This window comes from Homo sapiens, chromosome 9 (assembly GCF_000001405.40).
Source record: "Homo sapiens chromosome 9, GRCh38.p14 Primary Assembly".
NCBI classification, from domain to species: Eukaryota; Metazoa; Chordata; class Mammalia; order Primates; family Hominidae; genus Homo; species Homo sapiens.
This window is the reverse complement of record NC_000009.12, coordinates 129,093,553-129,119,184: the sequence shown is the minus strand read 5'-3', so window position 1 is coordinate 129,119,184 and position 25,632 is coordinate 129,093,553. Positions and strand designations below refer to the sequence as shown.

At 56.1% G+C, this 25,632-nt stretch overlaps 2 protein-coding genes across 23 annotated transcripts in view, besides 6 other annotated features; one reads left to right on the top strand and one right to left on the bottom strand.

The window, feature by feature from the left end:
* The window catches only part of PTPA (protein phosphatase 2 phosphatase activator), a 37,997-nt gene extending 29,762 nt beyond the window's left edge, over positions 1-8,235 (bottom strand). For 6 of the 11 annotated variants that reach the window (XM_047423560.1, NM_021131.5, XM_011518838.3 and 3 more), the window contains exons 1-2: positions 8,153-8,235; positions 7,554-7,713 (exon numbers count right to left, since the gene is read on the bottom strand). In XM_047423560.1, the coding sequence (XP_047279516.1) occupies positions 7,554-7,713; positions 8,153-8,173 (181 nt within the window). In that variant the 5' untranslated portion in view covers positions 8,174-8,235. Of the gene's footprint in view, positions 1-7,393; positions 7,498-7,553; positions 7,771-8,152 lie in introns of those variants that run through there. The other 5 variants (NM_178001.3, NM_178000.3, NM_178003.3 and 2 more) reach the window with 2 other exon arrangements.
* Positions 7,034-7,574: an enhancer, noted in NCBI's record as "H3K27ac hESC enhancer chr9:131873890-131874430 (GRCh37/hg19 assembly coordinates)". NCBI's record gives its function as "activates a minimal SCP1, AML or CMV promoter by ChIP-STARR-seq in primed H9 embryonic stem cells {active_cell/tissue: H9 hESC(primed)}" and the evidence as "EXISTENCE:reporter gene assay evidence [ECO:0000049][PMID:30033119]".
* Positions 7,034-7,786: a biological region, named in NCBI's record as "H3K27ac hESC enhancer GRCh37_chr9:131873890-131874430".
* Positions 7,457-7,506: a silencer, noted in NCBI's record as "silent region_20361". NCBI's record gives its function as "represses an Ori minimal core promoter by ATAC-STARR-seq in GM12878 lymphoblastoid cells {active_cell/tissue: GM12878}" and the evidence as "EXISTENCE:reporter gene assay evidence [ECO:0000049][PMID:35858748]".
* Positions 7,507-7,786: an enhancer, noted in NCBI's record as "active region_29103". NCBI's record gives its function as "activates an Ori minimal core promoter by ATAC-STARR-seq in GM12878 lymphoblastoid cells {active_cell/tissue: GM12878}" and the evidence as "EXISTENCE:reporter gene assay evidence [ECO:0000049][PMID:35858748]".
* Positions 8,197-8,636: a silencer, noted in NCBI's record as "silent region_20360". NCBI's record gives its function as "represses an Ori minimal core promoter by ATAC-STARR-seq in GM12878 lymphoblastoid cells {active_cell/tissue: GM12878}" and the evidence as "EXISTENCE:reporter gene assay evidence [ECO:0000049][PMID:35858748]".
* On the top strand, positions 8,392-24,391 carry CRAT (carnitine O-acetyltransferase). Of its 12 annotated transcripts, none has more exons than XM_005251708.5 (16): positions 8,392-8,702; positions 9,908-10,006; positions 10,707-10,777; positions 11,108-11,371; positions 14,879-14,997; positions 16,119-16,172; positions 16,620-16,785; positions 17,128-17,302; positions 18,496-18,674; positions 19,219-19,319; positions 20,535-20,654; positions 20,814-20,936; positions 21,037-21,172; positions 21,873-21,935; positions 23,050-23,187; positions 23,573-24,391. In XM_005251708.5, exons 4-16 carry the CDS (start codon positions 11,144-11,146, stop codon positions 23,786-23,788), a joined length of 1,818 nt encoding a protein of 605 aa, XP_005251765.1. In that variant the 5' UTR covers positions 8,392-8,702; positions 9,908-10,006; positions 10,707-10,777; positions 11,108-11,143; the 3' UTR covers positions 23,789-24,391. The 12 variants fall into 12 exon arrangements, with proteins under 12 accessions (XP_005251765.1, XP_047278727.1, NP_001333477.2 ...); XM_047422771.1 differs by lacking the exon at positions 10,707-10,777 and adding an exon at positions 10,282-10,286; NM_001346548.2 differs by lacking the exon at positions 10,707-10,777 and having other exon boundaries at positions 23,050-23,115.
* Positions 16,624-17,369: an enhancer, noted in NCBI's record as "H3K4me1 hESC enhancer chr9:131864095-131864840 (GRCh37/hg19 assembly coordinates)". NCBI's record gives its function as "activates a minimal SCP1, AML or CMV promoter by ChIP-STARR-seq in primed H9 embryonic stem cells {active_cell/tissue: H9 hESC(primed)}" and the evidence as "EXISTENCE:reporter gene assay evidence [ECO:0000049][PMID:30033119]".
* Positions 24,392-25,632: the final 1,241 nt, after the last annotated feature.

Here is a 25,632-nt window from a genome sequence, read left to right as displayed (position 1 = left end):
TTTACAAAAAAAATTTAAAAATTAGCTGGGTGTGGTTGCATACCTGTAGTCCCAGCTACTTGGGAGGCTGAAGCAGGAGGATCACCTGAGTCCAGGAGGTGGGGGTTGCAGTGAGCTGAGATCATACCACTGCACTCCAGCCTGGACAACAGAACGAGACTCTGTCTCAATAAAAACAAAACAAGATTCCAGGAAGAGGAAACAAGAATTCTCCCGCTCTGTGGGTGGGAAGGACCTCCTAAGGGGACAATCTTTTGGAATAAAAAACTGCATATACACAATGAGTCAACAGGTCTACTTACAGGAATCTATCTTTCAGATGTGCTCACGGAAACACAAAGGTGTTTAATGCATCAAAAAAAAAAAAAAAAGCTGGGCATAGTGGCTCACACCTGTAATCTCAGCACTTTGGGAGCCCCAGGTGGGAGGATCACTTGAGTCCAGGAGTTTGACACCAACCTGGGCAACACAGCGAGACCCCATCTCTACTTTAAAAAAAAAAAAATTTTAGGCGGGGCGCGGTGGCTCATGCCTACAATCCCAGCACTTTGGGAGGCCAAAGTGGGTGGATCACACCTGAGGTCAGGAGTTGGAGATGCGCCTGACCAACATAGTGAAACCCCATTTCTACTAAAAATATAAAATTATTCAGGTGTGGTGGCGCATGCCTATAATCCCAGCTACTTGGGAGGCTGAGGAAGGAGAATTGCTTGAACCAGGAGGCAGAGGTTGCAGTGAGCCAAGATCGTGCCATCGCACTCCAGCCTAGGCAACAAGAGTGAAACTCTGACTCAAATAAAAAAATTTTTTATTAATTAGAAACAACCCAAATAGGCTGGGCGTGGTGGCTCACACCTGTAATCCCAGCACTTTGGGAGGCCAAGACAGGCAGATCACGAGATCAGGAGTTCGAAACCAGCCTGGCCAACAAGGTGAAACCCCATCTCTACTAAAAATACAAAAATTAGCCAAGTGTGGTGGCGCACACCTGTAATCCTAGCTACTCAGGAGGCTGAGGCAGGAGAATTGCCTGAACCCAGGAGGCAGAGGTTACAGTGAGCTGAGATCGTGCCATTGCGCTCCAGCTCTGGTTGACAGAGCAAGACTCCATCTCGGGGGAAAAAAAAAAAAAAGAAACAACTCAAATATCAGTTGATAAGACAATGGGTAAATAATGATATGCCCAGGTCCGGCATGGTGACTCACACCTGTAATCCCAGAACTTTGGGAGGCTGAGGTAGGTGGATCATTTGAGGTCAGGAGTTCCAGACCAGGCCTGGGAAACATATTGAAACCCCATCTCTACTAAAAAATACAAAAATTAGCCTGACATGACGGCACACACCTGTAATCCCAGCTACTTGGGAGGCTGAAGCAGGAGAATCGCTTGAACTGGGGAGGCAGAGCTTGCAGTGAGCTGGACCGTTCCACTGCACTCCAGCCTGGGTGACAGAGTGAGACTGTCTTAAAAAAAAAAAGAGGCTGGGTGTGGTGGCTCACACCTGTAATCCCAACACTTTGGGAATCCGAGGCGGGTGGATCACTTGAGGCCAGGAGTTCAAGACCAGCCTGGCCAACATAGCGAAATTCCACCTCTACTAAAAATACAAAAAATTAGCCAGGCATGGTGGCGCACACCTGTAATCCCAGCTACTCGGGAGGCTGAGGCAGAAGAACCGCTTGAACCCAGGAGGCAGAGGTTGCAGTGAGCCAAGATCACGCCACTGCACTCCAGCCTGGGCAACACAGCAAGACTCCGTCTCAAATTTAAAAAAGAGAAAAAAAAGATAGGCCCACATAATAAAAATTTTCATAGCTTATAAAATGAATAAAATCTAGGCCAGGCACAGTGCCTCCCGCCTATAATCCCAAAACTTCGGGAGGCCGAGGCAGGCAGATTGCTTGAGTCCAGGAGTTTGAAACCAGCCTGGACCACATGGCCAAACCCCATCTCTACAAAAAATACAAAAATTAGCCAGGTGTAGTGGTGCACACCTGTAGTCCTAGCTATTCGGGGGCTGAGGCGGGAGGATCACTTGAGCCCAGGAGGCTGAGGCTGAAGTGAGCTGCACTCCAGCCTGGGTGACAGAGCAAGACCCTGTCTTGAAAACAAAAAAAAATTAGAAACAACCCAAATATCAGTTGATAAGATGATGTGTAATTAATTATATGCCCACATAATGGAAATTTTCATAACTTGTAGAAAGAAGAAAATCTAGACCAGGCACAGTGGCTAACACTTGTAATCCCAGCACTTTGGGAGGCCCAGGCGGCAGGATCGCTTGAGCCCAGGAATTCAAGACCAGCCCAGGCAACACAGGGAGACCCCCATCTCTACAAACAATTTAAAAATTAGCCAGGTGAAGTGGCTCATGTCCGTAATCCCAGCACTTTGGTAGGCAGAGGTGGGCAGATCACCTGGGCTCAGGAGTTCAAGACCAGCCTGGTCAACATGGCGAAACCCTGTCTCTACTAAAAATAACAAAAATTAGCCGGGTGTGGCCGGGCACAGTGGCTCACGCCTGTAATCCCAGCACTTTGGGAGGCCGAGGCGGGCGGATCACAAGGTCAGGAGATCGAGACCATCCTGGCTAACACGGTGAAACCCCGTCTCTACTAAAAATACAAAAAATTAGCCGGGCATGGTGGCGGGTGCTTTAGTCCCAGCTACTTGGGAGGCTGAGGCAGGAGAATGGCGAGAACATGGAACTCGGAGCTTGCAGTGAGCCAAGATCGTGCCACTGCACTCCAGCCTGGTCAACAGAGCGAGACTCCGTCTCAAAAAAAAAAAAAAAAAAAAGAAACCCTGTCTCTACTAAAAATACAAAAAAAATTAGCTGGGCGAGGTGACGCATGCCTGTAATCCCAGCTACTTGGGAGGCTGAGGTGAGAGAATGGCGTGAACCCAGGAGGCAGAGCTTGCAGTGAGCCGAGATCGCGCCACTGCACTCCAGCCTGGGCAACAGAGCGAGACTCCGCCTCAAATAAAAAATAAATTAGTCAGGCGTGGTGGCGAGTGCCTGTAATCCCAGCTACTCAGGAGGCTGAGGCAGGCAGAATCGCTTGAACCCAGGAGGCAGAGGTTGCAGTGAGCCGAGGTCGCGCCACTGCACTCCAGACCAGGCGACAGAGCGAGACTCGTCTCAAAAAAAAAAAATTAGCCGGGCATGGTAGCGCACACCTGTAGTCCCAGCTACTCGCGAAGCTGAGGCAGAAGAATCACTTGAACCCAGGAGGCAGTTGGCCAGGCGCGGTGGCTCAGGCCTGTAATCGCAGCACTTTGGGAGACGGAGGCTGGTGGATCACCTGAGGTCAGGAGTTTGAGACCAAGCCTGGCCAACATGGTGAAGCCCCATATCTACTAAAAATACAAAAAAATTAGCCAGGCGTGGTGGTGGGCACCTGTAATCCCAGCTACTCGGGAGGCTGAGGCAGGAGAATCACTTGAACCCAGGAGGCAGAGGTTACAGTGAGCCAAGATCACGCCACTGTACTCCAGCCTGGGCAACAAGAGTGAAACTCCATCTCAAAAAAAAAAAAAATGCAAACTCTCCCTAAAGTGGAAGAGTAAAGGACTATCATCAATCACTCACAACCTGGTATAAATTTGTCCCCCTGCCTTCCTCCTAAAACCTGGCTGACATCAGCTACATGGAGAAAAAGGGACAGGGACCTAAGAAGTTTCTGGAACATATAACATTTGGAGAAATAGAGCCTGTCTGGAGAGGAACTGAAGAAAAGAAAAGTGCCAGGGGACTTGGAGACCTAAGGAGAAGGATAGAGAACCTGAGTTTAGAGAAAGACAAATCTCTGCCTAACTCAAACCAAGGCCCCAGAAAGAGATCAGAAGCTCTCTTCCTCCTCCCACCTGTCCTGCAAGCTCTGTTCCCAGAACCCAAAACTGCTATTAGTAAATTGGCACTTCAACTAAGATGCCAAATAAAAAGCTTTGTAGGTCAGACTAGTAACCCAACCACATTGCTTTTATGGGAAAATGTGTCCCACATTCCAAATAATCAACTTGGAAATAATCTTTGGGAACATACAGCCCTTTTATATGTGTGAGATCACCATTCTCTGCAAAGGGACAGCTCTCCTCGGAGGTTGCACTGAGCCAAGATCATGCTACTGCACTCCAGCCTGGGTGACAGAGTGAGACTCTGTCTCAAAAAATAAAAATAAAAAAAGGGATGGCACTCCTGACATTATTTAACCGGGATATTTCACAGGAAGAGAGCCTTCAGGCCAGTCCATGTTTGGGAAAAGGCTACCTTACCAGGAAGCACTATAACAAATTACTGATGAAACACACACAAGTTGCCAGAACACACAATCCCAAATCAAAGAAACAAGCCTTCAAAGGCAGGATGGTGATAAATGAGGTCACGCCCACAGTCTCTCCAGCCTCAGGTTATAGAGACATAGGTTCCAAGGGACAGTGGATTCCCAACAACCTCACAGTATAAAATCAACATTCAGAATTTTAGAAATGTTCCTTCCTAAGCCCCCCAACAAAGACTATAATATATAGCATTATCATTGGCCATTTGAAACTCGTCTACATGTTCAACCTGTACAACTTTGAAACTTTGAAAAAGATAAGGGCAATCAGCATTTACTGATCGCCTACTATGTCCCATGCTTTGCACACATCTTATAAAACACATACTACAATTCTATGAAGAAAGTATAGTAGCCTATAGTTATTTTAAGAAATAACTGAGGCTTTTTCTCAGGGAAAAAAAAAGAAATTTTAAAAAAGAGAGAAGTAACTGAGGCTCACAGAGCTGTGACTTGCCAGGCAGAGCCAGATATGTATGACTCCAAAATCCAAAGTTTTCATCATTACATTAAGAACTTCTCGCCGGGCGCGGTGGCTCACGCCTGTAATCCCAGCACTCTGGGTGGCCAAGGCGGGTGAATTACTTGAGGCCAGGAGTTCGAGACCAGCCTGGCCCACACGGCGAAATCCCATCTCTACTAAAAATACAAAAAATTAGCCCGGCACAGTGGTGGGCGCCTCAGCAACTCGGGAGGCTGAGGCACGAGAATCGCATGAACTCAGGAGGCGGAGGTTGCAGTGAGCTGAGATTGCACCACTGCACCCTGGCCTGGGAGACAAAGTGAAACTCTGTCTCAAAAAAAAACTAAAAAGAAGAAGTTCTTTCCAGCTGTTCCCAAAAGTTCTGTTTCAAATTTCAAAAAAGGACCACAACCAGGGACCTGGCTGTTTCCAGCCACGGATAACCTCCCTGAGCACAGCTCTCTTTCAGGGCACAGGTTCTCTCTCCTCCCACTCCCCACCCCCACTCATCTTCAGGGACACATTCATCTCACTGATAACAGTGGTTGCCTTATATCTCCTATCTCCTGATGTCCTTACCAGAACTTTTTCTTTTTTGAGATGGAGTCTAGCTCTCTCGCCCAGGCTGGGGTGCAGTGGCTGGAGTGCAGTGGAGCAATCTCGGCTCACTGCAACCTCCGCCTCCTGGGTTCAAGTGATTCTCCTGCCTCAGCCTCCCGAGTAGCTGCGATTACAGACGTGTGCCACCACACCCAGCTAATTTTTGTATTTTGAATACAGACGGGGTTTTGCCATGTTGGCCATGGCTGGTCTCGAACTCCTGACCTCAAGTGATCCGCCTGTGTCGGCCTCCCAAAGTGCTGGGATTACAGGTGTGAGCCACTGTGCCCGGAGTCATCACCAGAACTTCTAAGGCTAGCTTGTTCAACCCACAGCCCAGGACAGCTTTGAATGTAGCCGGACACAAATTTGTAAACTTTCTTAAAACATAGGCCAGGCACGGTGGCTCATGCCTGTAATCCCAGCACTTTGGAAGGCCGAGGCAGGAGGATCACGAGGTCAGGAGTTCGAGACCAGCCTGGCCAATATGGTGAAACCCTGTCCCTATTAAAAATACAAAAATTAGCCAGGCATGGTGGCGCACCTGTAGTCCCAGCTACTCAGGAGGCTGAGGCAGGAGAATCGCTTGAACCCGGGAGGCAGAGGGTGCAGTCAGCCGAGACCATGCCACTGCACTTCAGCCTGGGGGACAGAGTGAGACACTGTCTCAAAAAAAAGAAACACAAAACCATTATGAGATTTTTTTTTTTGCGACTTTTTTTTTAGCTCATCAGCCATCGTTAGTGTTAGTGTATTTTATGTGTGACCCAAGACAATTCTGCTTCCAATGTGGCTTAGAGAAGCCAAAAGAGTGGACACCCCGGTTTTTTTTTTGGGGGGTGACGGAGTTTCACTCTTGTTGTCCAGGCTGGAGTGCAATGCCGCGATCTCAGCTCACCGCAACCTCTGCTTCCCAGGTTCAAGCGATTCTCCTGCCTCATCCTCCCTAGTAGTTGGGATTACGGGCGTGTGTCACCACGCCCGGCTAATTTTGTATTTTTAGAAGAGACGGAGTTTCTCCATGTTGGTCAGGCTGGTCTCGAACTCCCGACCTCAGGTGATCAGCCCGCCTCGGCCTCCCAAAGTGCTGGGATTACGGGCATGAGCCACCGCGCCTGGCCTGGACATCCTTGTTCTAAGGGCACACACCCAGAGGTTTTGTACAAAATAAATGTCTGGTTTTGAATGTCCTAAGAAACGGAACCCAGCTCTTTGTTCACCTCTTTTGTGGGGCATGGAGGGGATGCCTTTTCTGATTTTCAACATTTCTCCCTCCTGAGACCTTCCCAGGGACCCCAACATTGGAGACAGGATAGCAAGAATATCAAATGCTTTCAAAACATTAGCTGTGTTTGGTCGGCCAACCTATTTGCCTCTGTCGGGAATGTAAAAGTTATCTATGGCCAGTCCTTCTTAGTTCAAGGTAGGTCGGCAAACAGCCTTCTCCTTCTGCACAAAAAGGGTCTCTAAGATCCTTCCGTAGCACCTCCATCCCAGTTATTTAAGATGAACTAAAAAGAGGCTACAAGGTAAATAAGAGTTACCGAAGGAGATGCCGGAGAGACTAACCTCCTTGCACAACCAGCCTTTTAAAATTAGGGATTTAGACACCACGGGCAGTTTCCCTCAATAAATTCTCAGGCACTGGAACCAGAGAGTAGGAGGATGAGGGGTGAGCAGGACGCGGAGGCCGAAACTGGAGGCGAGGCGGGCGCAGGCCCACGGAGCACCACCCCATCCCCTAAGCAGCGACTAATAAAGACGGCAGCCTCCGGAATCACTTTCGCCCCCCTCCCTGGCAGCTTCCCCACCGAGTCAGCAGCTTACTTAAGCACGCGCTGCCCAGAGATGCAAAAGGCCCCCTTATGACCACGGCGCTGCCCACCCAGCATTCGGGCAGCCTGGACTCCCACAAAACCCAGAGTTGCGCCCCAATCACCACCCCTTTGCAGCCCCTGGTTCCCTCCCCAGCGGCGCCCCACCACCCACCTCTCCCCTAAGGCCATTCAACTCAGTCCCTCCTCGGGGCCCCTCAGCTTTTGCCCCTCCAGTTCCTCCGTGTCATGACTCTCGCCCTCCTGAGCCTCCCACACCTGGCACCGCCCCCACCCTACCCGACCCCGGCCCGGCCTGGCCCCGCCGGCCTTACCTGGCGGCGGCTGCCGCTCGCCCTCAGCCATCTTGCTCCGGCCAGGAGCCGACCCGGATGCTTGCAGTCCCCTCTCGCCTTTCACTCTTGCACCCACCCTTCCTCTCCCCGGCTCCACCAAAGGCTCCGAGCTTCCTGAAGACAAGTGAGCGCCGGCCGGCTATAACCGAAAACCGAGAGTTAAAGTCACCACAGCGAAGACGGCCGCCATGTCGGTGCGGGGCGCTCAGGGAGCAAGCCTATTAACGGCCGGCGCGCGGCGGACGCGCGGAACCGGGCGACGGCCATGTCAGTGCGGGGCGCGCGGGGCGCATGCGCGCCAACGGCCGCCAAGCGCTAGGACCGCTCACGGCCGCCCGAACGTCGGGCGCCGCGACTGCCACGATTGTGCGGGGCGTCAAGTTTGGGTTGTGCTCAGCCATGTTTTTCCGGGACAGTCTCCTGTCCCGGAGTACCACCTGTCATCTTTGTGGGTGGTACTGACCCTAACCCAAGGAATATTAGAGGACATTCCCCGGTCAACATGGTTGTGTTTTCCTATCACTCTAAGAGTTAGGCTCAAGGACACCAGACGGAGTTGGAAAGGTGCACACCACTACCTCCAACAGCTTAGAAGACATGTGGGGACAGGGGAGAGACAGCTGGACGGTGACCTCCTCCTTCCTCCTCCACAGGTCTCAATGACTCGCCCTCGGCCCTGCCCCTCTGTCCCCGCCCGCCGTGGTCCCGCCCCCGACTCGCAGCCAGCCTACTGCGACCCGCTACCGGGCGACGCCCCGCCCCTCCGTCCCCGCCCCTCCTGTCCCTCCTCAAGGAGACTCCGCCCCATCGATGCCCCGTCCCCGCCCCACAGCCAACCTCCCGGGCACCGTTGCCCGCCCGGGGCCCGCTACCGGCCCAGGCCCCGCCTCGCGAGTCCTCCTCCCCGGGTGCCTTCCCGCAGCCCGCTCGGCCCAGAGGGTGGGCGCGGGGCTGCCTCTACCGGCTGGCGGCTGTAACTCAGCGACCTTGGCCCGAAGGCTCTAGCAAGGACCCACCGACCCCAGCCGCGGCGGCGGCGGCGCGGACTTTGCCCGGTGTGTGGGGCGGAGCGGACTGCGTGTCCGCGGACGGGCAGCGAAGATGTTAGCCTTCGCTGCCAGGACCGTGGTGAGTGCGGCGGATCCCGGGCCTGAGGGCCCTGGACGGCCTGGGCGGGCCGTGCGGTTGCGTCCGGGAACGGAGACCGCGTCCTGCGGCCGCTGTTCGACCCGGCCTCCAGCTGATGGGGTGGGGTCAGGCGGGCGTCCCAGGTTTGGCAGAGCAGGAGATTGGGGCGCAAGGTCAGAAGCGGGATTAAACCCACGTCCTGGAGCATTCAGTTCCAACGACCCAGGAAAGACAAGGGGGACCCCGGCTTCAGTTAGCACCCCCACCCTTAGACCCAGAGACAGGCCGGTAGGGGAGAGAGACCAGGAGCATCCAGACCCTAGCTCACTCTCCCAGTTATTCTCCGATTGACACACCCGTCGCACGCTTAGGCCAGAGCCACTCCTCCGACCCTGTCCAGTTGGTCACACTCCTTTGGTTTATCAGACGGTCCCTGGGGAATTGTGTGTGGCCAGAGAAACACGCGGAGGCATCAAGCTAGAAAGGCCTCAGAACTGGCAGGTGGCAGCCCCATGGTCTCCCTCCCCTCCAGCCCCCTTCCCCACCCTGGCTGTATCCTTCCCTCCAGCCCCCTTCCCCACCCTGGCTATATCCTCCCCTCTAGCCCCCTTCCCCACCCTGGCTATATCTACCCCTCAGTCCTCCCCGGTGAGCAGCCCGGATGCTAGCCTAATTTCAGTCCCTTCCGTCCCTGATCCAAGCATATGTTGCTGGTGTCTCACTCTGTCTCAGACACACACTACGGGGCCAGAGGGCGGAGGGTGCATCCAGGCTCAGGCCTAGAGGCTCTTTTAGGTGTTGCAACACCCTGAGCCTCCACCGCACCCTTGTCACTGTCTCCCAAGCTGCATCCATCCCACAAACAGCCTCTAGATCATCCTCCAGGACCATCCGACTGGACTGGTTACCTTCCTGCAGGGAAACTGAGGCAAGGAGGGACTTGCCCAGAGTCCCCTGGACCTGCTCATTCAAATCCAGCCCAATCCCAGTGTCCTTTGGTTTATTTTTCATACCAAAAGTCCTCCGCTCTTGGACCCTAGCTGAATGAGCCACAGCTCAGGAAAAAATGAGTGTTCGTAGAGGGATGGCTCAGATGGGTCCCAGGAGTCCTGGAGAGAAACAGGAAATAGGCAGGGCTTCTGGCTGTCCCATCCACTGATGGCCTTTTCCTGGTGTCTGCTCCCTTGCACCAACCCTAATTTCAGGACCGATCCCAGGGCTGTGGTGTAACCTCAGCGGCCAGGCAGTCTCTGTCCTCCAGCCAAGTTTTCCCTCATCAAAACGATCTTCGCAGATTCTGACAGGTGGATTTTTTATTACCTTTTGTCCTGACTCCCTGGCACTGAGCCCATGCAGAGAAGAAAGGAAAGAACTTTCCAGGTTCCCTTCTACTGGAATGCCCCCCCACTAGCCCTCTCACCTGCTCCCCATTCCTCTACTTCTGGGAGCTCGGGAGGGTGGAGCAGCTTCTAGAGTCCAGGAGCTTCCCCTGCCACTGCCACAACCCCCGATTCCACCACAGCCATCGCCACTGCCACCTGCCTCCCGCTGAATCTTGGCTCTTGTCTTCTCTTTCCAGCCCAGGCAAGTGGCTGCCTCTGGCTAGGTTCTGCTCACTCACTTTGTAGCACAGTTAGGCTTAGAGATCCAGCCAAGGCAGACAGACAGGGCCCAGAACCTCAGTCCTGCCATGGAGGAGGACGGGCAGCAGAGAGAGAAGGTATGGAACAGAGCTCCTGCCACTCGCCTGCCCACTGCAAGAGCAGCCTCGGGCCCTCCTGTCTCTGCCCACTCCAGGGCCTCCTGGACTTTCTCTTTCTCTCTCTGCCGCCTCTCACCCTCCATGCCAGGCCACCCGGCTCTCTCGCCACAGCACTGCCCTCACCCCACCCCTGCCCCATCTCAAAGGCAGGAGGAAGCCCAAGGCCCCTCACCCGAAGGTGCTGCCATTGTCTGGCTCTCTGTGATTCTCTCTTCTTCCCTTCTGTTTCTCAACCTGGAAAGGGTGGGAGAAAAGGACGTGGGGACCTCCAAGAGGGACAGTCACCACTCTGCTGGCTGGCTCCTCTTCCAGGGTGAGAAAGGAGGGGCCTGTGCAACCCAACAGGTGGGCGGTCCCCCTCACCTCTGCCACCCCAAAGGTGCCGTTCATCCTGACTTGGTTCCCCTGAGCCTTGCTAAGAACCATGGCCACACCCCACCCTCCCCCATCCCTACCTGCATCTCCAGGCCCCAGAGAGGCGGGGACACCTAGAGCTCTAGGGCTGGGAGGCCAGGGCCAGCCCCACCCAAGAGGCCGTCTCTGCCCCCAGGGATGGGCACTTAAGTGCCCAGGACTACAGCTTTGGGGCTGCCAGGGCTCCAGAGCCGGGGAGGGAATGAACAGGATGTTCTGCTACCTGCAGGTGAAGCCTCTGGGCTTCCTGAAGCCCTTCTCCTTGATGAAGGCTTCCAGCCGCTTCAAGGCACACCAGGATGCACTGCCACGGCTGCCCGTGCCCCCTCTCCAGCAGTCCCTGGACCACTACCTGAAGGCGCTGCAGCCCATCGTGAGTGAGGAGGAGTGGGCCCACACCAAGCAGCTGGTGGATGAGTTTCAGGCCTCAGGAGGTGTAGGGGAGCGCCTGCAGAAGGGGCTGGAGCGTCGGGCCAGGAAGACGGAGAACTGGGTGAGTGAGGGCATCCTCACTGTGACCTGCTGCTGGCTGCACATGCACAGTTCTCCAGTGCCCACTGCTCTGGCACGGCCGTTCGTTTGCTGCCCAGAGTTTCGTGAGCACATACTCTGTGTCTGGCACTTGGCAGGGTGCTGGGTGATCAAGAAGGACACAGTCACCAGCTCCTTGGAGCTAACATTCAAGTAGGGAGGAGAGAAAGGTAATGAACAGGATACAGGTTGTGGACAAGGTTTCATGTTCCAGGACAGAGGCAGGAGTGGGGTGCACGGCAGGTACAACCAGATAGAAGATGCCCTTGTGCTTGGTGGGACAGCCTCAGGCAGGGGATATGTGTCACTCAGTGACCGATCGCCCAGGTTCTGTATCTGATCTATGACACAGGTGTACCCAGTTTGGCAAATATGTCTACACCAATGTTTGGTGTGCTTTTCTATTTGCATCTCATACTTCAATACACAGATTTAAAAAGTGGCAGCTGGATGCAGTGACTCACACCTATAATCCCAGCACTTTGGGAGTCCAAGGCGGGCAGATCACAAGGTCAGGAGTTCGGGACCAGCCTGGCCAACATGATGAAACCCTGTCTCTACTAAAAATACAAAAATTAGCCAGGCGTAGTGGCACGCACCTGTAATCCCAGATACTGGGGAGGCTGAGGCAGGAGAATTGCTTGAACCTGGCAGGTGGAGGTTGCAGTGAGCCAAGATTGTGCCACTGCACTCCAGCCTGGGCGACAGAGCAAGACTCTGTCTTGGGAAAAAAAAAAGGTGACCCAGCTGCTGGGAGGGAGGCAGAGTGGAAGCCAGAGGCGAGGGGGAGGGGTGACATCACCCCCAAGGAGCTGTGGCAGCCTGGGTCTGACACCGGATGGGAGAGAGGGAGAGTCGTTAGGTCCAGGACTGTTTTGGAGGCAGTGCCAGTGTCACTTGCCAATGAGGTGGGGGCACGGGTGGAATTTGCCAAGTCGGGGTTGCCTGAGAGAGAAGCTACCTGTGGGAGAGCCAGAGCGGGTCCGGCCCTGGGAAATGCTGTGTTATAGGGGGTGCCATGGGGAGGGGAGGTAGAGCTCTAGCCCTGGGGCTTGGCGGAGGCTGTGGGGCTGCACACAGGAGGTGGGAGTTGTCAACATTTGCTGAGACGCGTCAGGTCAGGACTTTGGACTCCAGAACCAAGATGCTTCCCCCGAAAGGTCCTTAGAGCGTCTGGGGGCTGGTGGTTTTCCGACTTCATTTAGCCTGGGACTCCTTCAAACAGAAGCTCCTGGTTAAAGGGGTGGGGGCACCCCTCCTTCCACTCACGGGGCCACCGAAGGGTCTCCGCCACCACCTGGCAGATTCTCGCTGGGGGAGTACCCATACCTGCGGGGTCTCCTCTGGTCTCCCAAGCTTTGGCCAGAGGCTCTGGGATCCCTAGTGGAGTACAGGCCCCTGGCTGTTTCCCCAAGGGAAGGAAGCTCCTGTCTGCCCTTCACTGATCTACAGATGAGGAAAACTAAGGCCCAGAGAGGTGGCCCAAAAGCCCAGAGCCACACAGCAGCTCTCAAGGAAGCCCTCGGCCACACAGGAAGGTCTGACTGACTCAGGGACCCAGTTCTTAGGGGCTACCAGTCACCTGTTGTACAACTTGGGGACAAGTTGCCTCCCCCTCACCCCTTGCCAAGTTGCCTCCCCCTCACCCCTTGCCAAAGGCTAGTGGCCCAGTGCTGCAGGGGAGTGCGTGTGATGAAGAGGCGCATCCTGCTGCTGTTCACCACGGGTTGAGGGGGCGCAGGTGGGCCCAGGTCTCTGGGGGTGGAAGGCCAGAGAAAGCTGTACTGGCTGTGTGCAGGAAGGGTGGGTGTTGCAGTCAGCATAGAGGACACAGGGTGACAGTCACCTGGGAGTGTGCGCAGCGCCAGACATGGAGCCTTTAATACCACATCCCTGGCTGGTGCCCAGAGACCCCCCACCCCCCAGAGAGAGGACAGACCGTCAGGGCAGAGAGTAAGGATGTGTCACCCACATCTTGTCACTAGCATAAGGATTCATCCTTGCAGGGAGCATCCCCTCAAGATTGCCCTGACCTTGAGATCAAAGTGGGTATCTACTCCCCGAGGCCACAGGTTCCTCAGGCTGCTCTGATACCCCAGTCTCCTGCCTCCTTGGACAGTTCTCTGCTGGGGATGGTCAAAAACTCACTTATTGGGCCAGACGCGGTGGCTCACGCCTGGAATCCCAGCACTTTGGGAAGCTGAGGCAGGTGGATCATTTGAGGTCAGGAGTTCAAGACCAGCCTGGCCAACATGGTGAAAACCTGTCTGCAGCAAAAAATACAAAAATGAGCCAGGCATGGTGGTGCGCACCTATAGTCCCAGCTACTCAAGAGGCTGAGGCAAGAGAATCGCTTGAATGCAGGAGGTGGAGGTTGCAGTGAGCTGAGATAGCACCGTGGCACTTTAGCCTGGGTGACAGTGAGACCCTGTCTCAAAAAAAAAGTCACTCATTGGACTTTGTTTTTGTAGACCCTTCCCTTTTTTCCTTTCTATCTATTCAGGCATACATTTTAATTTAACATATGACAGTCATTGACAGAGAATGTGTAAGATGAGAATTTGTTCACCTTGCCGGGCGCGGTGGCTCACGCCTGTAATCCCAGCACTTTGGGAGGCCGAGGCGGGAGGATCACGAGGTCAGGAGATCGAGACCATCCTGGCTAACACGGTGAAACCCCGTCTCTACTAAAACTACAAAAAAAAAAATTAGCCGGGCACAGTGGCGGGCGCCTGTAGTCCCAGCTACTCAGGAGGCTGAGGCAGGAGAATGGCGTGAACCCAGGAGGTGGAGCTTGCAGTGAGCCGAGATCATGCCACTGCACTCCAGCGTGGGGGACAGAGCGAGACTCCGTCTCAAAAAAAAAAAAAAAGACCGGGCACAGTGGCTCATGCCTGTAATCCCAGCACTTTGGGAGGCCAAGGCGGGCGGATCATGAGGTCAGGAAATCGAGACCATCCTGGCTAACACGGTGAAACCCCGTCTCTACTAAAAATACAAAAAAATAGCCAGGTGTGGTGGCTGGCGCCTGTAGTCCCACTTACTCAGGAGGCTGAGGCAGGAGAATGGCGTGAACCCAGGAGGCGGAGCTTGCAGTGAGCCGAGATTGCGCCACTGCACTCCAGCCTGCATGACACAGCGAGACCCTGTCTCAAAAAAAAAAAAAAGAATTCGTTCACCTTGCTGCCCCTCCCCACACCCCGGGTTTCCTCCTGATCTTTCTTTCACATCCTTTCTTAGCAGCAGCATCGGATTGATCTGGCTAATACTGATCACTCGGGCTAAAGGGAAGAGGCTGGTGGGTTTAAGTTGTGGGGCAGGGAGGGTGGGTTCTGGATCTAGGCATTTACTTTGAGAATCTCCATAGCCAGGTAGAGGGCATGGGGGCCAGCCAGGTCCCCTAGCCCTGGGGAACAGGGGGCACCAGGGCCCATGCACCCCTCCTGACAGGCTCTGGCACTTTTCCCAGCTGTCTGAGTGGTGGCTCAAGACCGCCTACCTCCAGTACCGCCAGCCTGTGGTCATCTACTCGAGCCCAGGCGTGATGCTACCCAAGCAGGACTTCGTGGACCTGCAGGGTCAGCTCCGGTGAGTGGCTGGGGTTTGGGGGCCAGGAGGCAGCCGGGCCCCTCGAGTTCACTTCGCCCAGCCGCTTGGAGGGGCCCCGACCCTGTTTATCTTTCTGCCCCACAAGCAGCCTTATGAAGTAGGGAGCATCCTCCCTATTTTACAAATGGGGAAATTGAGGCTCGGAGCAGGGAAGGGAGCTGCCCAAGACCCCATTCAGGAAGCAGGGTCTCTCCAGCTCTAAAGCCTCATGGCTGTTAACCACCACATCTTCGCAGAGGCCCCATCCTCCTCCATACCTGAGGCTTCTCCCCGACCCCAGTTTTAGCACTTCACCTCTCCTTTCCACTCTTCTCAGCTAGCCACAGGGGTGACCTCTGTACACAGTCCTCTTTTCCACATTCAGCCAGGTCACCTGCCCCAGCCCCTATTCCAGTCCTACCAGAGATAAAAATACCAGTGACAAGGATCTCCTGCCCAAGGACCAGCCACTGGCTGCCACCACCTGCTTCTCTTAAAGGGACCAGGGTACCCTGGGAAGGGCCGGGGTTCAGGCCCAGGAACTCCAGCCACTGGTCCCCATGGTGGGATCCAGGGGCGGCCCCAAGCATTGAGGGTGGTTGCCATGGGCCAGACAGCCCTGGGAGGAAGGCGGCCTGGGGGACACAGAGGCCCAGAGTGGGGAAGGGACCTAGTGGAGGGAACACCGGAGCCACTGCTCTCCCATCACACCACCCCAGGGGCCCGGGGCCTCCAGAACCGATGCTTCAGAGCAGATGACACCCCCTCCAGATTCTAGGCTGAGGTTCAGGAGCTCAGGCCCTTTGTGGGTAGACCCAGCCCACTGACCCCTAACCAAGCCACACTCCAGCTGCAGGGGGCCAGCACCCAAGTCCTACTAGGCCCTTGGCCACCAGCACTTCCCCGAGCCCTCCCGACCATGCTCCCTCTAGAGGTTATGAAGAAGCACACACAGGCTGGCAAGCTGGGACTCGCAGGCCCCTCCCTTGCGCTCCCAGGCTTTCTGGAAGCGGTGAGAGAGGCTGGAAGACTAGACCTCCCGCTCCCCAAGCAGGTGTCCCTAGCCCGGGGCCTCCCTCAGGGTGTCCACGCAGCTTCTAATCTCTAATCAATCTTTCCAGATTTGCTGCCAAACTCATTGAGGGTGTGTTGGATTTCAAGGTCATGATTGACAAGTGAGCATCCCCACCCCTGCCCAGCCCCACACCTGCCCAGGCCTGCTTAATTACCACAGCCACCTCTGACCCCAGCCCTGGCCCGGCATGCCAGCTTGGGCCCTGGGCCCTGCTCCAGCTGCTGGAATCTCCTCTTGGTGGGTGACCCTGTCCCATCCCAACTAAAGAGGACCCCAGAGTTTTATTCGCTGCTTCATCTCCCCTGTGACAAACTGAAGCCCAGAGAGGGGAAAGGAGGGAGTTTCTAGATGACTTCTGAACAGGGCCCATCTGGGGCAGAAAGCGAGCCCCCTGCCCACAGCACAGCCCTGAGGTGTCCTGCTCATCTGGGAGTGGGAGCAGGGACACTGTGTGAGCCCCCAGCAGTACCTAGCAGGTCCCTGTCTACCCTGCCCTCCTCCCCATTCACTTGCCCAGTGGTGGCCTCACTGCCCCTCTACCCCATAGCGAGACCCTGCCCGTGGAGTACCTGGGGGGGAAGCCACTGTGCATGAACCAGTACTATCAGATCTTGTCCTCCTGCCGAGTGCCGGGCCCCAAGCAGGACACAGTCAGCAACTTCAGCAAGACCAAGAAGCCTCCCACGCACATCACCGTGGTACACAACTACCAGGTGGGTGGCCCCCACCCACACCTACAAGCCCCGGCCCTGCTGCAGGAGTACAGCCGGACGGCCGCAGTCGGCTTCCCCACTGGGGTTCCCCAGCACACGTGCCCACGTGCCCCAGGAATGGGCGCCCCTGGCTTCTCCATTGGGGGCCCAGGGAGGCCAGGAGGGGCCGTGGGCCTGCCCAGCCCAGAAGGGTGATCCAAGGACCTCCTCCCCCTCTCACCCTTGGCCTGACTCCATCCCCTCCAAGGCCAAGGCCAGGAGGAGGCAGGTGTGGGGAGGTGGCTGCTCTCAGCCTGAGGTCCCCACTCAGCTCCCTCCTCTTACCTGCCTGTGCCCCAACAGTTTTTTGAGCTGGATGTGTACCACAGTGACGGGACACCCCTCACTGCGGATCAGATCTTTGTGCAGCTGGAGAAGATCTGGAACTCATCCCTACAGACCAACAAGGAGCCTGTGGGCATCCTCACCTCCAACCACCGCAACTCCTGGGCCAAGGCATACAACACCCTCATCAAAGGTGCCTCTTGGGGGCCGTGCTGGGGCTGCACACCCAGGCCTCTTCCCCTGTTGGGGACCAGCCTCAACTCCACCTGTAGGGTACCCGAAGTCTGCTGGCAACAAAGGAATGAGAAGAGACAGGTTAAGAGTTCATGAAGGTGGGAGCCAGGGGCCAGTTGCAAAATGGAGGCTGCAAAAGGCGCAGAGTTCTGGTCTCCACACTATTGAGTGCAGTCACTTAGCTCTAAGAAGCACATGTTCAGGGCGAAACAGTGAAAGGGAGGCAGTGCCTCATAGGAGGCATAATCTATAGCAATAGCAGTTTAAATGAATCTCCTTTGTGCTCAAACAGCGTGTCTTTAACTTATCGGAGAGTAGCTGGTGGGAGCGGGCTTAACTAGGAGCCTGCACATCTGTCCACTTCCCAGTGTTTCAAAGGAGTGTCTTTCTCCTTGAACACAGTGTTTACAGATAGGAGAGCGGGTCTCGCTCTGAGCATGGGAACATGATGGCAATTAGTAGGCTTTCCTCCTCCGTGGCCTCTTCTGGCTTTCCACAACTTATTGTCCCCTATTTTTATGGCCAGTTTATACAGGCACCCCACAAGTCCTTTTCCCAACATTCCCCCGGCATGCTGGGCCCCGCACAGCCATGGGCAGACATGTTTCCCGCTGCATCCTCTCAACGTGGAGCAGGCAATGTGGGCCCCATGTCCTAGTTGAGGACACCTCATGGTTAGGGTAGTTTCTCTCAGCTAAATAGCAAGTTAGGATTAGAGTCCAAGTCCTCTGGCTGAGAAGCCCACCCGCCTCCACACCCCCTGTGCCCCCAAGTACCAGCAGTCCTCCAAAGCATGTCTTGCTCAGGGGCATTGACCCCAAAGTCAGACCACCTGTGTGGGTTCCCCGGCTGCCACACCAGCTCCCATGTGACCCCTGGGCTTCGGTTTCCTGTGTCTAAAGTGGGCCAGGTGTTGGGCCCTGCCTCGAGGAGTGCTGTGGGCCTGCAGGGTCCTGTTGAGTTCGAAGCTCTGAACCCACACCCTGCACTTGGTGAATGCCCTGGAGGGCCGGCGAGGTGGGGGGTCTCCTCATCCCAGAGAGGTACAAATGGGTCAGAAGAGCCCAGGGCAGGAGGCTGCGGAGGGGCTGGTCCATCTCTCCCACACCATGAGACCCCATTTTGCGTCTCCCCGCCCCATGCCACCTGCAGACAAGGTGAACCGGGATTCCGTGCGCTCCATCCAGAAGAGCATCTTCACCGTGTGCCTAGATGCAACCATGCCCAGGGTCTCAGAAGACGTGTACCGCAGCCACGTGGCAGGCCAGATGCTGCATGGGGGCGGCAGCAGGCTCAACAGCGGCAACCGCTGGTTCGACAAGACGCTGCAGGTGAGGCCCGGCAGGGCTTCGCCCACTCACACACACCTGAACAGGACCTCTGCAGCCTCGGGACTTCCTGCCCGTCCCCGGCCCTGCGTCCCCAGCCTCCTAGCTTGTAAAGCAGGCAGGAAGCCAGCAGGCTGGACGCTGCCGTAATTACCAGGCAGCCAGCCTGTCATCACCAGTCCTGCCTCTGGCCTGGAAACCGCTGTCACCCCCAGCACACCCCCTCAGCACCTCACAGAGAACCTGGGATCCGGGGTCACCAGTGCAATCCTGGCACAACAGTCCCTCTCCACACCTGTAAAATGGGGTGATGGTCAACCTCACCGGTAGAGTAGTTTGAAGGACTCAGTCAGGCACGCTGAGCGTGGGATGTGCTTAGCACACCAGGGCACCTGGTGAGTGTCAGCTATTGTTAATAACAGTAATAAGTCATCATAGCCCCTTGAGATGGCTTCAGAGAGGCCCTTGCCTCAACCAAAGAGTGGTTGGGTGAGGGGCCACCCCCCAGGGCCCTGGGGCTGACCGGGGTCTCCCTTCCCTTCCACAGTTCATCGTGGCAGAAGATGGCTCCTGTGGGCTTGTGTACGAGCATGCTGCAGCGGAGGGGCCCCCTATTGTCACCCTTCTGGACTATGTCATCGAGTACACGTGAGTACAGTCACATCTCTCGCCTAGTTCCCCAGCTTCTAGTGACAGGTGACACACAGGTGATAGACCAGCTTATAGAGAAATATCACTCTCCTTTGTGCCTGGGAATCTGTTTTTTTCCAAGGAAGCCAGCCAGATATGGTGGCTCACGCCTGTAATCCTGACACTTTGGGAGGCTGAGGTGGGAGGATCAATTGAGGTCAGGAGTTTGAGATCAGCCTGGCCAACATGGTGAAATGCCATCTCTACTAAAAATACAAAAAAAAAAAAAATTACCCAGGTGTGGTATCACATGCCTATAATCCCAGTTACTCAGGAGGCTGAGGCAGGAGAATTGCTTGAACCCAGGAGGCAGAGGTTGCGTTGAGCGGAGACTGTGCCACTGCACTCCAGCCTGGGTGACAGAGCAAGACTCTGTCTCAAAAAAAAAAAAAAAAAATTAGGCCAGGTGCAGTGGCTCATGCCTATAATCCCAGCACTTTGGGAGGCGGATCACCTGAGGTCAGGAGTTCAAGACCAGCCTGGCCAACATGGTGAAACCCTGTCTCTACAAAAATTAGCCAGGCATGATGGCGGGTGCCTGTAATCCCAGCTACTTGGGAGGCTGAGGCAGGAGAATCGCTTGAACCCGGGAGGCAGAGGTTGCAGTGAGCTGAGATCACACCATTGCACTCTAGCCTGGGTGACAGAATGAGACTCTGTTTCAAAAAAAAAAAAAAAAAAGTTAGCCACGCGTGGTGGTGGGTGCCTGTAATCCCAGCTACTCAAGAGGCTAAGGCACAAGAATCACTTGAACCCAGGAGGTGGAGGTTGCAGTGAGCCGAGATCGTTCCATTGCTCCAGCCTGGGTGACAGAGCAAGACTCTGTCTCAAAAGAAAAAGAAAAAAATTAGCCAAGGTGGCGGGCATCTGTAATCCCAGCTACTCAGGAGGCTGAGGCAGGAGAATCGCTTGAACCAGGGAGGCCAAGGTTGCAGTGAGCTGAGATCACATCACTGCACTCCAGCCTGGGCAACAGAGCAAGACTCCATCTAAAAAAAAAAAAAAAAGAAAAAAGAAAAAAAAGCTGAAGTGAGGGTGGTTTTCAGAACAAACTCACACCTCCCTGGGCTGGCCCCCTCCAGCTTCAGGTACCCATCCTCCCCACCCTGGTCCCAGAATGGACCCAGGCTCTAGAGGCACCAGCATGAGCCTGAGGCCCCGTTTACTGTGCAGGAAGAAACCCGAGCTTGTGCGGTCTCCCCTGGTGCCCCTGCCCATGCCCAAGAAGCTGCGGTTCAACATCACCCCCGAGATCAAGAGCGACATCGAGAAGGCCAAGCAGAACCTCAGCATGTAAGTGCCTGCCCCCGCCATCCCTGTGCTGGATGGGTGAGGCCAGGCCCTTGAGCTTGAGAGGCTCCTGTGCCAGCTCTGTCATGACACCCAGACCCTCCGTGGGGTTGGCAGGGGCTGCCGGGGCCTGCTCCTCACCTGCTCTTCCCACACCCCCAGCATGATCCAGGACCTGGATATCACCGTGATGGTGTTCCACCATTTTGGAAAAGACTTCCCCAAGTCGGAGAAGCTAAGCCCAGATGCCTTCATCCAGATGGCTTTGCAGCTGGCCTACTACAGGTGCGCCTCTGTGGCCCACCCATGGAGGAGGGAGGAGACCTGGGGGCAGGGGAGGGGGTGCCCGCCTCCAAGGGGCGTGCTTAGCCCCATTTCCCACCAGGATCTACGGACAGGCATGTGCCACCTATGAAAGTGCCTCCCTGCGCATGTTTCACCTGGGCCGCACCGACACCATCCGCTCGGCTTCCATGGACTCACTCACCTTTGTCAAGGCCATGGATGACTCCAGCGTCACGGTGAGAGGTCTGGGGCGAGGGTGGGTGAGCTGGGCCTGAGCCCCTCCCTCCTGCTCACTCAGTCAACACACAATAATTGAGCACCTACAGGATTCCAGCCCCATGGTGGGCACGGGGAATCTAACAGAAGCTGGAGCCGTGAATCTAGCTCTGAGCTTCCTGGGGACCAAAGAGGAAAAGGGAGTCATTCATTTGTTCATTCATTTATTCATTGGCAGTAAGCAACTGCCCTATGTCAGGCCCTGGCTGAGGACCAAGGAGTTGGTAGTTGCAATACTCGCTCTTTTTTTTTCTTGTTTTTTTTTAGAAAGAGTCTCACTCTGTTGCCCAGGCTGGAGTGCAGTGGTGTGATCTCGACTCACTGCAACCTCCACCTCCCGGGTTCAAGCAATCCTCCTGCCTCAGCCTCCCAAGTAGCTGGGACTACAGGTGCCTGCCACCATGCCCGGCTAATTTTTGTATTTTTAGTAGAAACGGGATTTCACCATGTTGGCCAGGCTGGTCTCAAACTCCTGACCTCAAGGGATCCACCTGCCTCGGCCTCCCAAAGTGCTGGGATTACAGGCGTGAGCCACCGCTCCCAGCCCCAATATTTCCTCTTAAAGAGCTCAGAATCTAGTGCTGGGTGGGGGTGGGCTACTGAGGTGGGCCAGAAGAGAAGGGACAGTGCTTCAGCTCCCTCTGACCCTCACCACTCTAGGAGCACCAGAAGGTGGAGCTGCTGCGGAAGGCCGTGCAGGCCCACCGAGGCTACACCGACCGGGTAAGTGAGCCCGCTTGTGCCTACTCACTTGTCCCTTAGTGTCAGCCATCTGTCTGTCCCTCTGACTGTCCGTCCCTGCAGCCAATGGCTGCCAACCCTTTGCTAGGACCACATCTCCCCCAACCTGGGAGCACCTGGAGCCAGGCTGAATAGCCCCCAACTTTTTCTTTTTTTTTTTTTTTGAGATGGAGTCTTGCTCTGTCGCCCAGGCTGGAGTGCAGTGGTGTGATTTAGGCTCACTGCAACCTCCGCCTCCCAGGTTCAAGCAATTCTCCTGCCTCAGCCTCCCAAGTAGCTGGGATTACAGGCACCCACCACCACACCTGGCTAATTTTTCCATTTTTAGTAGAAACAGGGTTTCACCATGTTGACAGGCTGGTCTCAAACTCCTGACCTCAGGTGATCCACCCACCTCAGGCTCCCAAAGTGCTGGGATTATAGGCGTGAGCCACCGTGCCCGGCCAAATATCCCCATTTTAAAGTTGGAGAAACCCAGCCTGGGCCCAGTAACTGCCTTGGTTCCAGGTTCCAGGGCTGGCCTGGGCCCTAGATGTTGGGTCACACTCTCTCCCTGATGCTAGGTATCTCTCCCTGACGCTAGGTATACATGGTCCAGCAGACAGCCAGTTTCCTGCCCTCCAGCAGCTTGGGCTGCAGTCAGGGAGGTGGCTGTCTGGATGCGTGTCCTGGCTCTGTCTCTGAGCACCTGTGTGTCCAGGCTCTGACCGTGCTACATGCACACGTCCATTTAGAGCTCACCGCCACCCTGCGAGGGGAGTGTAGGACTCACCCCTCTTTACAGATGAAGACACTACAGTTCCAGAACCTAAGCAACCTGCCAAGGCCCTGCAGCCAGGATGGGGCTAGGTCACCCAGCTCCAGGGCCCTGCCCTACAACCCTGCACTTTCCTGCCTCCCTGGGCAAATCCCCGCCCCTCCCTGAGCCTTGGTTTCCCCATCTGTGAAACGAAGGCTCTCTCTGGCCAGAATACTCTGGTCTTGTGGTTTTGAGTGGCCAGTGCCTGCGAAGGGTGGCGCTGCCACAGGCTGAAGAGGGCAGGGATACCCCGGGGGTCCACAGCCCCTGCTCCTGACAGCTCTCCCACCCCAACAGGCCATCCGCGGGGAGGCCTTTGATCGACACCTGCTGGGCCTGAAGCTGCAGGCCATCGAGGACCTGGTGAGCATGCCCGACATCTTCATGGACACCTCCTACGCCATCGCCATGCACTTCCACCTCTCCACCAGCCAGGTGGGCCACTGCCCCAGGTGCCCCGGGGGCTGGAGGCAGAGAACCCACTGGTAGTTTGATGTGGCCTACACAGGCCCCACTGACCCATTGCCAACACAGCTGAGTTCCAGAGGAGGAGCTGGGGGCAGGGGCCTCTCTGCAGCCCAGGCAGGCTGAGAAGGGGTCAGTGCTCCTCATGGGAGAATCAGCTTCGCTGACTCACTGGTCAGGTATAAAGGAACATTTGATTCGTGCCAGCCTGTAGTGGTTGCTGGGATATAGCAGGGGACAGACCATGATCCCTGCCCACAAGGGGCCTGCAGTCTTGGCGGAAGCACAGGCAGCCTGGGAAGTGCTGGGGGCGTCAAGGTAGGGGAGCTGAGAGCTTTCATCCTGCCGTCCCCAGGTCCCTGCCAAGACAGACTGTGTCATGTTCTTCGGGCCCGTGGTCCCCGACGGCTACGGTGTCTGCTATAACCCCATGGAGGCCCACATCAACTTCTCCCTGTCGGCCTACAACAGCTGCGCGGAGACCAACGCCGCCCGCCTGGCGCATTACCTGGAGAAGGCGCTCCTGGACATGCGTGCCCTGCTGCAGAGCCACCCCCGGGCCAAGCTCTGAGCCCCTAGGACTCAGGCCTGCCAATGCCACAGCCAAGCCCACCCTGGGATGGGCCACCCACCAGGGCTCAGCTCCTTGGTTCCCTCTTCCTTGGTTCCCTCTTCCCTGGTCCCCCCAAATCTACTGAGCCACGGACCGCATCCTCCAGGGGGCCTGCAGGCCCCAGCCAAGTGCCTTCCGTGGGTCATCCCAGCACCTGCCAGGGCCCGACCTGGGGCTGAGTGCAGAGGCTGAGCAGGACGTTAGGCCCGGGCCCCTGGCACGTCCTCCACCGGTGCCTCCTCTGGGGAAGGGAACCAGCCCTCCAGAGCAGGAGACTGGCAAGAGCTCTTTGTCTCACCAGCTCAGCCCCGGCCACTCCCTGCCAACTCCATGACCAGGCCACCATCTGTACCCTGCTTCCCAAACTCCCAGGACCTGGAGACAGGATTGTCTGGGGCCGAGGGGCCAGGGTGTGAGGTTTCACCTCCGTTGCGGCTGTGCTCCTGTGGATAACATTGCTAGCGAGCCGCCTCTGGTTCCACTCAGCTTGGTTCCTGCCCCCGCCCTGCTGTATGATATTAATGTGGAAGGTCATCAATAAAGGGGAATTGTGTTGGTGAAGAGGTGTTTCAGCTGAGAGGCAGGCAGGGTGGGGGCAGGCACCTGGCCTTGCCCTCTTCAGCTTTCCCTGGGCCTCGGAGCTGGTGTCCAAGCAGCTGGTGGGCCTGAGGGCTTTGGCCCAGGAGCCAAGGTCCAGCTGTGACCTTGGGGCACTGGGCCCAGAACCATACCAGAGCCAGGGCTGCGTCCTTCACCAGCAGCTTCCCACCTACCTCTGGCTTGGGCCTTCCCAAGTCCCATGGGTTGTGGGTAGGGGCAACTCTCCCAGGGGACTGTGGGGCCCAGCAGGCCCAGGTCTGGTGGGCTGATGAATGTTGCTAATACCCAGGGGCCCAGGGTGTCATTCTACTTCCCCCAACTGAGCCCAGCAAAAGTAGGAGTACAGCAGCAGGCTCAGCTTGCCCCAGGCCCAGCCGCTGCCAGGACAGACACCTTCGGGGGTGGGCAGGTGCGATCAGAGCAGAACCACATACCTGCCCATAGCCCCGTGTCCATGGCTGAGGCAGGGCATCCTGGCAAAACCAAGCGTGCAGTTTGTGGAGAGGGGAGAGTCTCCCATTAGGACACTGGCCTGTGAGGAAGGCCTGTGTGAAACCACAAGGGCGGATGCCGGGGTGGGCTGGGGGAGGTTGGCTGGCCTGTGAGTGAAGGGCTCTGTGACCTGACTAAGCTGGGACAGTCATCCGAGAGTGGGGCCTTTGGTTTTCTCCGTTTGTCAGATGAGGAAGCAGGCTTAGCGAGGTTAAGGTCACCGGGACGCTAAATGGCAGAGCAGGATTCACAGAGGCCACACTTGTCTCCTCTAGGCCGGGGCTCCAAGAAGCCCCTCCCTAGAGCCAGGTCCCCAGCCCCAGGCCACATCCACCTAGGTGTCCCGCAGCAGGGGGTGGAGAAAGGGATGCTATGGGTGGAAACCGGCCCAGCCTCAGGACCACAAGGAAGCGGGTAAAGAGGGAGGCTGGGCTGAGCCTGAGCTCTAATCAGGCGCAGGGACCTGCCAGGCCTGACCATTGGTGGTGTACTCAGCAGGAGAGGGCAGCCACTTGCCCAGTGCCCCAAGGGGACAGGAGGTGTAGCCCAGACAATGGAGGAAATGGATGGAGGCAGAGAAAGGGATGCCTCTGGGGGGAACACGCAGGCCTGGAAGAGAATGTCACCTGGACCAGCACCCGGACTCTGCTCCTCGCTACACAACAGGGTGCTCCCTCTGGGGGTGACTAGAACCGCTAGGAAACAGGGTA